Consider the following 16,827-nt stretch of genomic DNA (forward strand, 5'->3'; position numbering starts at 1 on the left):
AGAAGCTGAGCCTTGGGAAGGTGTGCAGAGGCATTCTTCCAAAGATGATATTGTCACTACCTCACATGGAGTTCCACTTTTATAAATAAAAAAAGCCTAACTTGAGTAAGTCAGGTCATTTTAAAACCCATCTCCCAATTCAACAGGCCACATCATATGAAGACATATGTATGGTGCACAAATGTACTGAAATGTACTGAAAGAGATTTTTCCAAGGGTACCTTAATAAGTCTAAAAATGAACAGAAAAATTGTCTGAAAATGGCTTTGCCTTTTTTGAACAATAAATACTGGGTGAGTTGATTCTGTCTGTATTCGAAACTGGAACATAATCTCCAAATATCAAAAGTCTAACTCATTACCTAGCACTAAGAAAATATTTAATAAACATTTGTTAGATGAAAAAATGAATGAATCCATCAAAAAATATATTATATGCCCTCTAACCTTCTTCCTTAGCACTCAACTGGAATATTTGATGCTATGTGTTATCTACTGTTTATTCCTTAATTTGATAGATGATGAAATTGAAAATTACAACTGTGACTCATATCAATGGCTATACTTTGAATAGCCCATGTTTTTCCTTGTTCCTTGTCTTCAAATTGTTATAGCTTGGATACTGTTAAATGTTAATGAATAATGCTCTTGAAGACTAAATGGAAGGATACTCTCTTCTGTGGTCATAATTTGGCTCCTACCATGTTTTTCCACATTCAAAGAGAGATAATGGCCAAGAATGTTCAATAACTGATGGAAGACGTGAACTCCTAGATTATAGAAGCACAGTGAGTTTAGAGGAAAATAAATAAAAGTGAGTCAAAACAGTAGAGAAGCTGGAAAACATTAAAGTTAGGTACAAAAAATTACAAAATCAATGAGAGAAAAGGCAGAATACTTAAAACAAACTTCTCATTAGCAACATTAGAGGCCAAAGGACAATGGAATACTAACTTCCAAGAATTAAACCATCAGTTAAGAAGGGAAATAAAGATATTTTTAGACACACACTGAGATAATTTTCCACACAGATATTCACTATAAAAAAACTACTAAAAGGTATACATTAGTAAAAAGCAATTAAATATAAGAAAAAGAGTGGATTGTTTTAAGCAATGTAAACAAACAAATTGGCAAGTATGATAAAATATTTAAAATAAGAATTGCCTTTTAAAAAATCAATAGTTAAAATTGGAAATAAGTTTAAAACAAGGAAGGATAAAAACGCCAGAAAATAATAACATGGAATATGAGAGTTGGAGACTAAAGTTAAAACAATATAAATGGTCTTCCATCGTTTGAAAAAGTATATCTGGATGTTAATTTTATAATTTGTTAGAGCAAATATATATTTTAAAATTTTAGGGAAAACCATGAAAATAACAGAAATATAAGGTATCACATCCAAACCAATAGAGAATGGAAAAAGGAGATTTAAAACATAATCTAATCTAATTAATAGAAATTTGAAAAATAAAAATAAAAAGCATGATATCTAGAAAATACAAAATAAGATAGCAGCAATAAGGCCTAATAGATCAGTAGTTGTAATACATGTAAACAAATTAAACTCAATAATTAAAAAAAAGCTCTGACTGAATTTTTAAAATCCAGTAATAGACTATTTACAAGTGACACTGGGTTTTTAAAAGAAGTCCAAGTATATTCACTTCGTAAGATAATATATGTTGACATTGAAAGTTTGAAAATAAAGACATAAAATAAGAATTGTCAGAAACAAATGAAATAAAGATGGCAGCCATATTAATACTAGAAAATTATAATTAAAAACAAAAGCATTATTAGAGATGAAAGGGATTCATTGCATGATAAAAAGAGAAAGCTACCAGAGGAACATAAAAATCCTGAGCCTGTATGCATCTAACACTATAAACTTGAAATCTGTAAAGCAAAAAAAAAAAAAAAAAAAAAAAAAAATCAACATAATTACAAGTAGAAAAAGACAAACACAAAATATTAGGAGATTTGAGCATATTTTTCTCAGAAATAAAAAATGTAGCAGCCAAAAGTAGCAAATAACACTCAAAGACCAACCACATTTATGTAGAAGAATTATGTATAAAAACATATAAACCTACATATGGAAACCATCCCCCTCAAATCTTTCTAAGCCACTAAGGAAGTCTCAAAAATTATCAAATAATTTTTAAAAATCCGGACAATTTTCTTTTAGTGCAATTCCATAAAATAAAAATTAATGAAAATAAAATACCAAATAATTCATGGATCAAAGAATAAATCAAATTAAAATGATTAAAAATAGTAATAATTGAAGTAGAATAAAAACACTATATATCATGACTTGTGGAATACAGCTAAAGTGTTATTTAAAAGATAATTTATAACTTTAAATGTACATTGGAAAAAAGAAAGATTAAAAATTAATGAGAAAGTGCAAATTTAAGAAGTGTATAAGTCTGTTCTCATGCTGCTATAAAGAACTGCCTGAGACTGGGTAATTTATAAAGAAAAGAGGTTTAATTGACTCACAGTTCCACATGGCTGGGGAAGCTTACAATCATGGTGGAAGGCACCTCTTCACAGGGCAGCAGCAGTAAGAATGAGTGCCAGGAAGGGAAATGCCAGATGCTTATAAAACCATCAGATCTCCTGAGAACGCACTATCAGGGGAACAGCATGGTGGAAATTGCTCCCGTGATTCAATTACCTACACCTGGTCCTGCCTTTGACATGTGGGGATTATTACAATTCAAGATGAGATTTGGGAGGTGACACAGAGACAAACCGTATCAAGAAGTAAAAATATCCACTGAAAAGTGAACCTAAAGAATGTATATGAGAAGAAATGATCAAAATAGAAGTGGAAATTAATGTAACAGAAGATAAAAAAACAAACTAAACAAAAAGCCAGTTATTTGTTAAGACAAAATAGTGAGACTCTTCCAATGTGACCAAGGTGGGGGTAGAAGGTGAAGGTAGAGCAGCAGGGAAGAGAATCAGTATTAGGAATGTAAAGAAGGCCACATTTTCAGACAAAAGTAAATATTATAACATAAGAAGCTGTTAGAAATAATTTTATGCTAGCAAATTTGAAAATGTGAATTACGTGGATAAATTTGTGGAAAAAGTATAAATGAAAAAAATTTATTCAGTAAGAAATTAAAACACTGACGAGGGAGGAGCCAAGATGGCCAAATAGGAACAGCTCCAGTCTACAGCTCCCAGCGTGAGCGACGCAGAAGACGGTGATTTCTGCATTTCCATCTGAGGTACCGGGTTCATCTCACTAGGGAGTGCCAGACAGTGGGCGCAGGTCAGTGGGTGCGCGCACCGTGCGCGAGCCGAAGCAGGGCGAGGCATTGCCTCACTCAGGAAGCGCAAGGGGTCAGGGAGTTCCTTTTCCGAGTCACAGAAAGGGGTGACAGACGGCACCTGGAAAATCGGGTCACTCCCACCAGCATATTGCGCTTTTCCGACGGGCTTAAAAAATGGCACACCACGAGATTATAATCCGCACCTGGCTCGGAGGGTCCTACACCCACAGAGTCTCGCTGATTGCTAGCACAGCAGTCTGAGATCAAACTGCAAGGCCCCAGGAGGGCTGGGGGAGGGGCGCCTGCCATTGCCCAGGCTTGCTTAGGTAAACAAAGCAGCCTGGAAGCTGGAACTGGGTGGAGCCCACCACAGCTCAAGGAGGCCTGCCTGCCTCTGTAGGCTCCACCTCTGGGGGCAGGGCACAGACAAACAAAAAGACAGCAGTAACCTCTGCAGACTTAAATGTCCCTGTCTGACAGCTTTGAAGAGAGCAGTGGTTCTCCCAGCATGCAGCTGGAGATCTGAGAACGGGCAGACTGCCTCCTCAAGTGGGTCCCTCACCCCTGACCCCCGAGCAGCCTAACTGGGAGGCACCCCCCAGCAGGGGCACACTGACACCTCACACGGCAGGGTACTCCAACAGACCTGCAGCTGAGGGTGCTGTCCGTTAGAAGGAAAACTAACAAACAGAAGGACATCCACACCAAAAACCCATCTGTACATCACCATCATCAAAGACCAAAAGTAGATAAAACCACAAAGATGGGGAAAAAACAGAACAGAAAAACTGGAAACTCTAAAACGCAGAGCGCCTCTCCTCCTCCAAAGGAACTCAGTTCCTCACCAGCAACGGAACAAAGCTGGATGGAGAATGACTTTGACGAGCTGAGAGAAGAAGGCTTCAGATGATCAAATTACTCTGAGCTACGGGAGGACATTCAAACCAAAGGCAAAGAAGTTGAAAACTTTGAAAAAAATTTAGAAGAATGTATAACTAGAATAACCAATACAGAGAAGTGCTTAAAGGAGCTGATGGAGCTGAAAACCAAGGCTCGAGAACTACGTGAAGAATGCAGAAGCCTCAGGAGCCGATGTGATCAACTGGAAGAAACGGTATCAGCGGTGGAAGATGAAATGAATGAAATGAAGTGAGAAGGGAAGTTTAGAGAAAAAAGAATAAAAAGAAATGAGCAAAGCTTCCAAGAACTATGGGACTATGTGAAAAGACCAAATCTACGTCTGATTGGTGTACCTGAAAGTGACGGGGAGAATGGAACCAAGTTGGAAAACACTCTGCAGGATATTATCCAGGAGAACTTCCCCAATCTAGCAAGGCAGGCCAACGTTCAGATTCAGGAAATACAGAGAACGCCACAAAGATACTCCTCGAGAAGAGCAACTCCAAGACATATAATTGTCAGATTCACCAAAGTTGAAATGAAGGAAAAAATGTTAAGGGCAGCCAGAGAGAAAGGTCGGGTTACCCACAAAGGGAAGCCCATCAGACTAACAGCGGATCTCTCAACAGAAACCCTACAAGCCAGAAGAGAGTGGGGGCCAATATTCAACATTCTTAAAGAAAAGAATTTTCAACCCAGAATTTCATATCCAGCCAAACTAAGCTTCATAAGCGAAGGAGAAATAAAATACTTTACAGACAAGCAAATGCTGAGAGATTTTTCACCACCAGGCCTGCCCTAAAAGAGCTCCTGAAGGAAGCGCTATACATGGAAAGGAACAACCGGTACCAGCCGCTGCAAAATCATGCCAAAATGTAAAGACCATGGAGACTAGGAAGAAACTACATCAACTAACGAGCAAAATAACCAGCTAACATCATCATGACAGGATCAAATTCACACATAACAATATTAACTTTAAATGTAAATGGACAAATGCTCCAATTAAAAGACACAGACTGGCAAATTGGATAAAGAGTCAAGACCCATCAGTGTACTGTATTCAGGAAACCCATCTCACGTGCAGAGACACACATAGGCTCAAAATAAAAGGATGGAGGAACATCTACCAAGCAAATGGAAAACAAAAAAAGGCAGGGGTTGCAATCCTAGTCTCTGATAAAACAGACTTTAAACCAACAAAGATCAAAAGAGACAAAGAAGGCCATTACATAACGGTAAAGGGATCAATTCAACAAGAACAACTAACTATCCTAAATATATATACACCCAATACAGGAGTACCAAGATTCATAAAGCAAGTCCTGAATGACGTACAAAGAGACTTAGACTCCCACACATTAATAATGGGAGACTTTAACACCCCACTGTCAACATTAGACAGAGCAACGAGACAGAAAGTCAACAAGGATACCCAGGAATTGAACTCAGCTCTGCACCAAGCGGACCTAATAGACATCTACAGAACTCTCCACCCCAAATCAACAGAATATACATTTTTTTCAGCACCACACCCCACCTATTCCAAAATTGACCACATACTTGGAAGTAAAGCTCTCCTCAGCAAATGTAAAAGAACAGAGATTATAACAAACTATCTCTCAGACCACAGTGCAATCAAACTAGAACTCAGGATTAAGAATCTCACTCAAAACTGCTCAACTACATGGAAACTGAACAACCTGCTCCTGAATGACTACTGGGTACATAACGAAATGAAGGCAGAAATAAAGATGTTCTTTGAAACCAACGAGAACAAAGACACAACATACCAGAATCTCTGGGATGCATTCAAAGCAGTGTGTAGAGGGAAATTTATAGCACTAAATGCCCACAAGAGAAAGCAGGAAATATCCAAAATTGACACCCTAACATCACAATTAAAAGAACTAGAAAGGCAAGAGCAAACACATTCAAAAGCTAGCAGAAGGCAAGAAATAACTAAAATCAGAGCAGAACTGAAGGAAATAGAGACACAAAAAACCCTTCAAAAAATTAATGAATCCAGGAGCTGGTTTTTTGAAAGGATCAACAAAATAGATAGAGCGCTAGCAAGACTAATAAAGAAAAAAAGAGAGAAGAATCAAATAGACGCAATAAAAAATGATAAAGGGGATATCACCAACGATCCCACAGAAATACAAACTACCATCAGAGAATACTACAAACACCTCTACGCAAATAAACTAGAAAATCTAGAAGAAATGGATAAATTCCTCAACACATACACTCTCCCAAGACTAAACCAGGAAGAAGTTGAATCTCTGAATAGACCAATAACAGGACTTGAAATTGTGGCAATAATCAATAGCTTACCAACTAAAAAGAGTCCAGGACCAGATGGATTCACAGCCGAATTCTACCAGAGGTACAAGGAGGAACTGGTACCATTCCTTCTGAAACTATTCCAATCAACAGAAAAAGAGGGAATCCTCCCTAACTCTTTTTATGAGGCCAGCATCATTCTGATACCAAAGCCAGGCAGAGACACAACCAAAAAAGAGAATTTTAGACCAATATCCTTGATGAACATTGATGCAAAAATCCTCAATAAAATACTGGCAAACCGAATCCAGCAGCACATCAAAAAGCTTATCCACCATGATCAAGTGGGCTTCATCCCTGGGATGCAAGGCTGGTTCAATATATGCAAATCAATAAATGTAATCCAGCATATAAACAGAGCCAAAGACAAAAACCACATGATTATCTCAATAGATGCAGAAAAAGCCTTTGACAAAATTCAACAATCCTTCATGCTAAAAACTCTCAATAAATTAGGTATTGATGGGACGTATTTCAAAATAATAAGAGCTATCTATGACAAACCCACAGCCAATATCATACTGAATGGGCAAAAACTGGAAGCATTCCCTTTGAAAACTGGCACAAGACAGGGATGCCCTCTCTCACCACTCCTATTCAACATAGTGTTGGAAGTTCTGGCCAGGGCAATTAGGCAGGAGAAGGAAATAAAGAGTATTCAATTAGGAAAAGAGGAAGTCAAATTGTCCCTGTTTGCAGATGACATGATTGTATATCTAGAAAACCCCATTGTCTCAGCCCAAAAGCTCCTTAAGCTGATAAGCAACTTCAGCAAAGTCTCAGGATACAAAATCAATGTACAAAAATCACAAGCATTCTTATACACCAACAACAGACAAACAGAGAGCCAAATCGTGAGTGAACTTCCATTCACAATTGCTTCAAAGAGAATAAAATATCTAGGAATCCAACTTACAAGGGATGTGAAGGACCTCTTCAAGGAGAGCTACAAACCACTGCTCAAGGAAATAAAAGAGGATACAAACAAATGGAAGAACATTCCATGCTCATGGGTAGGAAGAATCAATATCATGAAAATGGCCATACTGCCCAAGGTAATTTACAGATTCAATGCCATCCCCATCAAGCTACCAATGACTTTCTTCACAGAATTGGAAAAAACTACTTTAAAGTTCATATGGAACCAAAAAAGAGCCCGCATCACCAAGTCAATCCTAAGCCAAAAGAACAAAGCTGGAGGCATCACACTACCTGACTTCAAACTATACTACAAGGCTACAGTAACCAAAACAGCACGGTACTGGTACCAAAACAGAGATATAGATCAATGGAACAGAACAGAGCCCTCAGAAATAACGCCGCATATCTACAACTATCTGATCTTTGACAAACCTGAGAAAAACAAGCAATGGGGAAAGGATTCCCTATTTAATGAATGGTGCTGGGAAAACTGGCTAGCCATATGTAGAAAGCTGAAACTGGATCCCTTCCTTACACCTTATACAAAAATCAATTCAAGATGGATTAAAGACTTAAACGTTAGACCTAAAACCATAAAAACCCTAGAAGAAAACCTAGGCATTACCATTCAGGACATAGGCATGGGCAAGGACTTCATGTCTAAAACACCAAAAGCAATGGCAACAAAAGACAAAATTGACAAATGGGATCTAATTAAACTAAAGAGCTTCTGCACAGCAAAAGAAACTACCATCAGAGTGAACAGGCAACCTACAAAATGGGAGAAAATTTTCGCAACTTACTCATCTGACAAAGGGCTAATATCCAGAATCTACAAGGAACTTAAACAAATTTACAAGAAAAAAACAAACAACCCCATCAAAAAGTGGGCAAAGGACATGAACAGACACTTCTCAAAAGAAGACATTTATGCAGCGAAAAAACACATGAAAAAATGTTCATCATCACTGGCCATCAGAGAAATGCAAATCAAAACCACAATGAGATACCATCTCGCACCAGTTAGAATGGCAATCATTAAAAAGTCAGGAAACAACAGGTGCTGGAGAGGATGTGGAGAAATAGGAACACTTTGACACTGTTGGTGGGACTGTAAACTAGTTCAACCATTGTGGAAGTCAGTGTGGCGATTCCTCAGGGATCTAGAACTAGAAATACCATTTGACCCAGCCATCCCATTACTGGGTATATACCCAAAGGACTATAAATCATGCTGCTATAAAGACACATGCACACGTATGTTTATTGCGGCATTATTCACAATAGCAAAGACTTGGAACCAACCCAAATGTCCAACAGTGATAGACTGGATTAAGAAAATGTGGCACATATACACCATAGAATACTATGCAGCCATAAAAAATGATGAGTTCATGTCCTTTGTAGGGACATGGATGAAATTGGAAATCATCATTGTCAGTAAACTATCGCAAGAACAAAAAAACAAACACTGCATATTCTCACTCATAGGTGGGAATTGAACAATGAGATCACATGGACACAGGAAGGGGAATATCACGCTCTGGGGACTGTTGTGGGGTAGGGGGAGGGGGGAAGGATAGCATTGGGAGATATACCTAATGCTAGATGACGAGTTAGTGGGTGCAGCGCACCAGCATGGCACATGTATACATATGTAACTAACCTGCACAATGTGCACATGTACCCTAGAACTTAAAGTATAATAATAAAAAAAAAAGTTTATCAAGAGAGTAATATAGTAAAAGTGACATTTTGAAAATGACTCTTCTGATAGAAGCATTTAATAAGCTCTTACAACATGCCAAGCACTACACTAAGCATAAACATGTTGCCTCAATGCAAGATGGACTTAGAATGGAGGCCCAGCTGTGACAAGAATGCACATTTGAGAATCTGGGCCATGTCTGATTGCCTGTCTTGTTTTTGTTGCCCCAAACAAACAAAGAAACAACAAAGGCAGGGAAAAGTGTAATAGCCAAAGTAATAACTGGCAGCTGCACAAGCCCTCGGTCAGGTTCATGTCATTACAGGAGTCCCTGGTGCCCCACACTTCCTAAAGGCAGAAGAGCCACAGAATGGCAATGAATATGTGAAGGTGAGCCTGGGTGGTTAGGTCATTTCTTCAGGAAGAAAAGACAGAAATAAAATTAGAACAGGGTGAAAAAAAAAAAAAAAGAAAGAAATTAAACACTGACTAGATCTATTAAAGAAATCACATCAGTCGTACAACTTGCCCTCAAATAAAAGCAAAGGACTCATACAATTTCACAGATTTTGCAGGCCTTCCAAGGAAAAAACTTCTATTTATATAAATTGTTTTATGGGCTAGAAAAAGGAACAAGAGCTCTCCAACTTATTTTAGAAATAATAATATATATTTCATACATAAAATGGATTAGGAAAGTACAAAGAAGAAAATTTATAAGCTATGCTTTATTACAGAAGCAAAAATCCTAAATAACATATTAGTCAATGATTCCAGAAATATTTTTTTAAATTAATTATGACCAAAGAAGACTCATTCTGGATCTGAAAGAATGATTTATAATTAAGAAATCTATTAAGTAATTTAATACATTAACTCATTAAAAGTTATTATTTGTTGTCTCATAAGTGCAGGAAGATTTATTACCTAAAATTCAACAACCATTAATGATTTCAAAAAACCTTATACTCACAATAAATTAAATTTCCTGAATATGATGAAAGATATCTAACAAAAGCCTAGAGCACAAATACCTTTCAACAGTAAAATGTAAGGAGCATGCTCTCCAAAATTAAAGGGAAGTATGCTAATTATCATTACTTCTATTTAACATTGTTAAATAGTATTCCAGCCAATGCAATAATAAAAGAAAAAGAAATAAAACATGTATGAGAACTTTATGAAGAAAAATATGAATTGTTGTTAAAAGGAGATAAAAGCCTAAATAATAAAAAGATACATCATATACCTGAAATGAAAAAGTCAATATCACATAGGCCAGATATATCAAAATAAATCTATAAATCTGTGACATTTTCAAAACCTTCCAAATATTTTTAAAGGAAGTTGATAAATTAATATTACAATTTGAATAAAAGAATATATGGCCAAGAAATGAAAAAAAATGACAAGGGATAAAGCAGGAGGATCATCATACCACATATCTAAAATCTGATGACAATTAATAGCAAATTGTTACAACTCTGTGACAAGGAGCAAGGACAGAAAAGTAGACTAATGACACTGAATACAGCACTTATAAGAAGGCTCATAAATACATAGAATTTTGGTAAATATAATAGAGTTGGCATTGCAACTGGAGAATAAGATAGACTACTCAATAAGCAAAAATGAGAAAACAAGTCATCCTTATGGAAAAAAATAAAATATTTATTTCATACACAATTAAAAAAATAAATTTAATCTGCTTTAAAAGTAAAACTTTAAAACATAAAATGATAGTATCTTTTAATGAGCCAATAGAAAAAATATGTTTTTAACCAAGAGACAGGCATAAACCTTAGGAGACTGATAAATGTGAGCATATCAATGTTTAAAACTTCAGTTCTGTTCAGTCTTCTTAGGTTTAAAGAGATTCAAGGAATATTCAAGGAAAATATTCAAGGAAAAAACTTCATTCAAGGAAAAAAAAATGCATGTAATAAACCAAAAGTTGGATCTAAAATATATAAAGAACCCATCCAAGGCAAAACTGAAAAAAAAAAAAAAAGAAGGAGAAAGAGAGAAAATCAACAGATAGAAAAGTTGATAATGGTATGAACAGGCAATAGAAGAGGAAACCTAAATAGCTAATAAGCATAAAGAATTCAGCCTTAATTACCTGTTATTAATCAATACAAATTAAAACAATCCAATAGGTATATTTCATACCTATAAGATAGGCAAATTTTTATATCTGGTTAAGATGACAACAAATGGGAAGTGTCTTACATCATTGTTAAGAGTGTAAACTCTTACACTCTTAACAATCTCTTTAGCAAATAGTTTTGTAGTATCTAAAAATCATAAAGTGTATATGCCTGTGGTTCCAGTATTTCTACTTCTGGTTTTTCAATTTATAGAAACCCTTACATATTCTCTCAAGAAGATGTTGACAGGAACATTTATCCCATTTTTTTTGTAACAGCAGTAAAATGGAAACAACCTAAATGCCAATTCATTCACTGTGGTGGGCACTTTGAGAATAGATGGAAAACAAAACAAAACTTCTGCCCTCACTGAGTTTACATGCCATGATTCAAGAATTTCAAATACAATATCCTACTCTGTTCACCTCCCAATCTTTCTGTAAGTTTACCAAAAGCATACATACATTTTTCCCCAACCTGAGTAAGAATTAAAAGGGTATTATGCCTATGGTCTGTCTACTTGTTGCTTAATGAGGTAAAGCATTTTAATACAGTTTAGTGATATGAAAGCCTGAATAACTGCATGGAGTAGTAATGTCATTAGGCTGTGATGATACTCAATGAGAAAAGTAAAAAGAAATTTGCAGTTGCCATGTGTTATTTGTATAAGCATGCTACCAGAAATGTCACTCTGTTAGTAGACTAATAAAACATTAATCCCTTAAAAACTGATAAAGAGAAAACCCAAAGGGAAAATGGAGGCTTGCAGTTAAGTGAAAGTAGCCGACAGACTTTCCAGAACACAGATTTTGAGATTAGACAAATCTGGCTTCAGTCCAGGCCCTGCCACACTGTATTATGTGTCAAATCATCTAACTTACTTGAGTTTCATTGTTTCTTTCTATGAAATAGAATAATTCCTACCTCAGGAATCACCTGTACTAGTTTGGATAGAGCTATCAGTGTGACTGATGTGGAGACTCATACAGATTCCTTTATAGCCTGACAGGACCCAAACGTCTCAGGACCACATGCTTTCTAAGAAACTCTCAAACTTTAGAGTGCAAGAAATACAAAATTTTCAGATTGTCGGTCATCACCTGGATTCTCACACCATAAAGGTTTCTACATCCCCTAATCTGACTCAATTTTATACTCCTTCTCAAACCTCCAAACTTTTTAAAGTCTGCCATAGGAAAAATCTCTTAGAGCTTCAAACTCTTTCATAATATTCTCTTTTCACTTTTCTGTTCCACCAAAAATCTGCTTTCCCCTGAGGCCCCTTTCCCAGAATCCCTATTGAGTAGTGGCTGTTTTCTCTCCCTCACACCTTATGCCAATGGATTACTTATAAAGCTACTTTCTTCTCCTTCTTTGGTATGCCGCAGCTCTTTTGAAGATTCTGTGTCAGACTATACCACACTCTACCCTCCTTGATACAGTCATTTGCAGACCTTAATATAGACCTCATTCCCTGCAGATTTCAGCAACTGCTCTTTTTCAAACACTACTGTCATCATAATTCTTGGTAATTTCAACATTTACACAGGTAATCTTTCCAATATTGTGATTTCTCAACTTCTTGACTTCATCTCCTCTCATGATCACATCCACTAGCCCAACTACCTCATGATTGTAACCTTGTCATTACCAATAATTGTATCCACTGTATAACCTCAATTTTAATCTTCCTAATATCTGACAACTGCATCCTTTGCTTCCAGTTCACCCCTCTGGTACCTCAATTCAAACAGTTCTATGCACTAACAACTCTAACCTTTAATCCTACAACCCTGCTCATATTCACACTTTCTTTTTTCAAACTTAGATTTGATGGTCCATAAACAAAATCATTTCTCTGCATAAAGCCACAGTAGCCATAGTTCCTTACTACTTCAGCCTTGCTTGATAAAACCCCAGCAGTGTTTAATTATCTTCATGTTTACTCTGCCCCCACAGTTAAAGACTGACCATGGTTACAGTGACTTCTCATTTTGAACTCAGCTGTTGCTCCAGAAATGTTAGTTCTTCAAAGCAGGTAGGTAGGAGCTGCCAATTTATGTAGGCAGAGTGGCAGCAATGGACTGACTTTTAGTTTAGCATGAATATTATATGTCCTGCCACTCCCATCCCCAGTACTCTTGGAAGACTCTAGAACTTGTATTCAACTGAAGGAAACCACCCTGCCTCTGCTTCTGCACCAGCTAAGTTGATACCTGAGTAAAACCCAGAGGCTCATGCAGGAGCCACTCCAGCTTAGCATGGCACAGGGTCAGTCATTAAAGCCATCCTAAAGAGTCCAATGCTGTGTGCTCCCTGAATAACCCATCAAGCCAGAGCCACTTCCCTGCAGTAGCTCAGATTAGTAACCCACCTACAGGGACAGTAGCAAGTTCCACCCAGAAATATAAAGTTGACAAAGTTGTTTTTCACACTGCCATGGCTCATTTCTCTGTTTTCTGCTTTTTGTCCAGATTACCTCTTTATCAATTGCTATGACAGGAAAATAATATGATCTCAGTCTCATTTCCTTTCATCTGAGATTAAATTGATTTTCGAATATAAAGTTCTTTGTCTTTAAATCATTTAGGGTATAAGTAGGCACATGATGGGATTTTTTTGCTGGAGAAGTGGTTTCCTCCTCTGGCTATAATGTGCTTGGGCTGGACTTGGGCCTCCTGGATTGACTTTGAATGGATACAGTACAGAATGGATATTTTTGTTCCTATATCCTTTAGCTTGGCACAATCACTTGGAATGTGACAATCCTCTCAAATAGTACGTTTGACTATTTGTCATTAATTTTAATGCTGTAACTATTTGGGGGTGTATTCAGTTTTTTGTTCATTCATTAATCCATATAATCAATCAATATAGATTGAGAATCTGCAATACTCAAGGCTTTGTGTTGAATGCTGAACCAAACATGAGAAAGAAACAGTCCTTGATTGGTTATCTAGTTACCACAGGAAGGTAAATAATCATTATAATCAGGTACTCTACAGAGGAATAATTTCAGTGAGGAATATTAGAACTGTTATTTATAAATGAGAGTTTTACCACTCAAAATACCTGAAGCATCCAATAAAAGGATTAAAAAGACATTATTATAGTCTTTCTCTGAAAATCTCAAACCATTTATAAATATTTTCACAACATGTACCTGAGATGAGAGGGGAGAAAAAAAACCACATAGAGGTCAATGACTTATAACCACAGAATTTAAGAGCTGAAAAGCACATCAAAATTCAACTGACCAAGTTTTCCTGGTTTCACCTTACAAATGTAGAAAGCTGGAAAGAGCATTCTTTCAGCCCTTAAAATAAGAAAAAAAAATCCAGATAAAATGCTAATTAACACCTTTTCTTGAACCCACATGAGAACTGGTCAGGTGCCTGCAGGGAGGAACAGGGCCTCAACATTTGCTTACCTGTGGCAGAGGCCACCAGAAAACACATAAGCCACAAAAATGACTCAGTGAGAAATTGTGGAAAACTTGCTTGAGGCCAAATGTGAGACTAGTGTGAGTGTGAGGTCTCTGGGGGATGCAACTCTAGGGAGCTTTTTAGCCTCTTTCATGGTTTTCCTCCATAATCTCCTCCAGATGTCTGCAGTGGGGATCAGAGAGCATCCTGAGAAAGCTTCCCAAGTGGCAGCTCAGGGAAGGAAACAGCAGTCCTTGCCCAAACTCGCCAAATCCATCATGCCCATCTCCCTGGTAGAAAGTCTGAATCTGCAGAGGGAAGTGCAACAAAGACTGTCACCTCAGTACACTGGTTGAAGCCTACGGCATCTAGTGTAATAAAACAAAAATACAAAATCTTCTTGAAATACAAGCCCAGTGCTACAGCTAGAGGAGGAGCACTTTGGAACCCCCCAGATGCCCAGTCTCTCCCTTAAACTAAAGCTTAATCATAACATCAGAAAATGTTTCCCTTCTTATAGCTCCTACCACCATGCTGACAAGTACTGAGCAAAAATAGCGGGAAAATACTTCTGAAAGAACTACAGGAGACAAATTTTCTCTGGGAAACATACATTGAGAAAAACTTTATGGTATACAAATCTACACCCTAAACACAAGAAAAACTTGAGCCCTTTGGTGCACTGATGGGACCCACAGCAACAGACTTCAAACCCAGCTGAACTGCTGATACTAGTAACATAAACCTCTACATTAAGGGCACAGCAGAAGGAAAGATGTGCTCATTTCCAAGCATGAAATATATTTATCTCAGTGTATGCTGTCCTATATATAGATACATGTATATTTTGCTTTTATCAATAAATTAAGAGGCATAGAAAAAGGCAAAAATAAAACACAGTTTGAAGAGAAAAAACAATCAGGCTCAGACTAGATTGCCATTTTACAAATGTAGAGAAAGAACAACTTAAATCCAAAGCAAGCAGAAGGAAGGAAATTTTCAAAGTAACTGATTATGACATTATAGGGTAGTAAACAACAAGTAATATAAGATAGGTAATTTCAACAGAGAGATAGAACAGAGAGATGAAAATGCTAGAAATCAAAAATATAACAAAGATAAAGAATACCTTTAGCAAACTCATCAGTAGACTCAATACAGCTATAAAGAGAATCTGTAAACTTGAAGATAGGTCAACAGGAGATACCCAAATTGAAATAAAAGGGGTAAAAAGTAAAAGAACAGCATCCAATAGATGTAGCATAATATTTAACAGCCTAACATGCACATAATTGGAATTCTAGAAAAAGAAGAGAGGATGATGTGGAAGTAATATATGAACAGGTAATGTATGAGAAGTTTCCAGAATTGATGACACACACACACACACACACACACACACACACACACACACACACACAGATTCTCAAAGCCCACAGAATGAGAAGCAAGATAAATACCTAAAAACACACCAACATGTATCATAGTCATACAATAGAAATGTAAAAGTATGTTTAATTATGAGAAAGGAAAAATACAAATAAATATTCCTCATGAGCAAAAATCCTCAACAAAATATTAGAAATCAAATAAAATAATATATAAACAAATAATATAACCAAGCAGAGTTCACTCCAAGAACACAGTGTTGGTTCAACGTTCAAAAATCAATATAATCCAACTTATTAGTAAATTAAATAAGAAAACCTACATGATACGACAGACGCATAAAAAGCATTTGACAAAACTTATAGTTCGTTACCAATTTTTTAAAAATTCACAGTAAGACAGAAGTAGAAAGGAACTTTCTCACCCTAATAAAAGGCATCTACAAAACAAACAAACAGAAACCCTACAGCTAACATCATACTCAATTGTAAGAGACTGAGGGCTTTCCCCCTAAAATGTGAGCAAGGCAAGAATGTCCTCTCTGACGGCTTGTATTCAACATTGTGCTGGAAGCTCTATCCAGTGCAATACAAACAAACAAACAAAATAATAAAAGGCATATGAATTGTAAAAAAAGAAATAAAACTTCCTATTTGCAGACAGCATGATTGTGTACATTGAAAATCACAATCT

General features: G+C 36.6%; 1 long non-coding RNA gene across 1 annotated transcript in view, besides 1 other annotated feature; it reads right to left on the reverse strand.

Moving 5' to 3' along the window:
* Nucleotides 1-16,827, reverse strand: part of LINC02994 (long intergenic non-protein coding RNA 2994) — a 331,088-nt gene that overhangs the window by 155,551 nt on the left and 158,710 nt on the right. The gene's annotated exons all lie outside the window — the stretch shown is intronic.
* Nucleotides 3,421-3,984: an enhancer, noted in NCBI's record as "NANOG-H3K27ac-H3K4me1 hESC enhancer chr4:85048206-85048769 (GRCh37/hg19 assembly coordinates)". NCBI's record gives its function as "activates a minimal SCP1, AML or CMV promoter by ChIP-STARR-seq in naive H9 embryonic stem cells {active_cell/tissue: H9 hESC(naive)}" and the evidence as "EXISTENCE:reporter gene assay evidence [ECO:0000049][PMID:30033119]".

This window comes from Homo sapiens, chromosome 4 (assembly GCF_000001405.40).
Source record: "Homo sapiens chromosome 4, GRCh38.p14 Primary Assembly".
Taxonomy (NCBI): domain Eukaryota; kingdom Metazoa; phylum Chordata; class Mammalia; order Primates; family Hominidae; genus Homo; species Homo sapiens.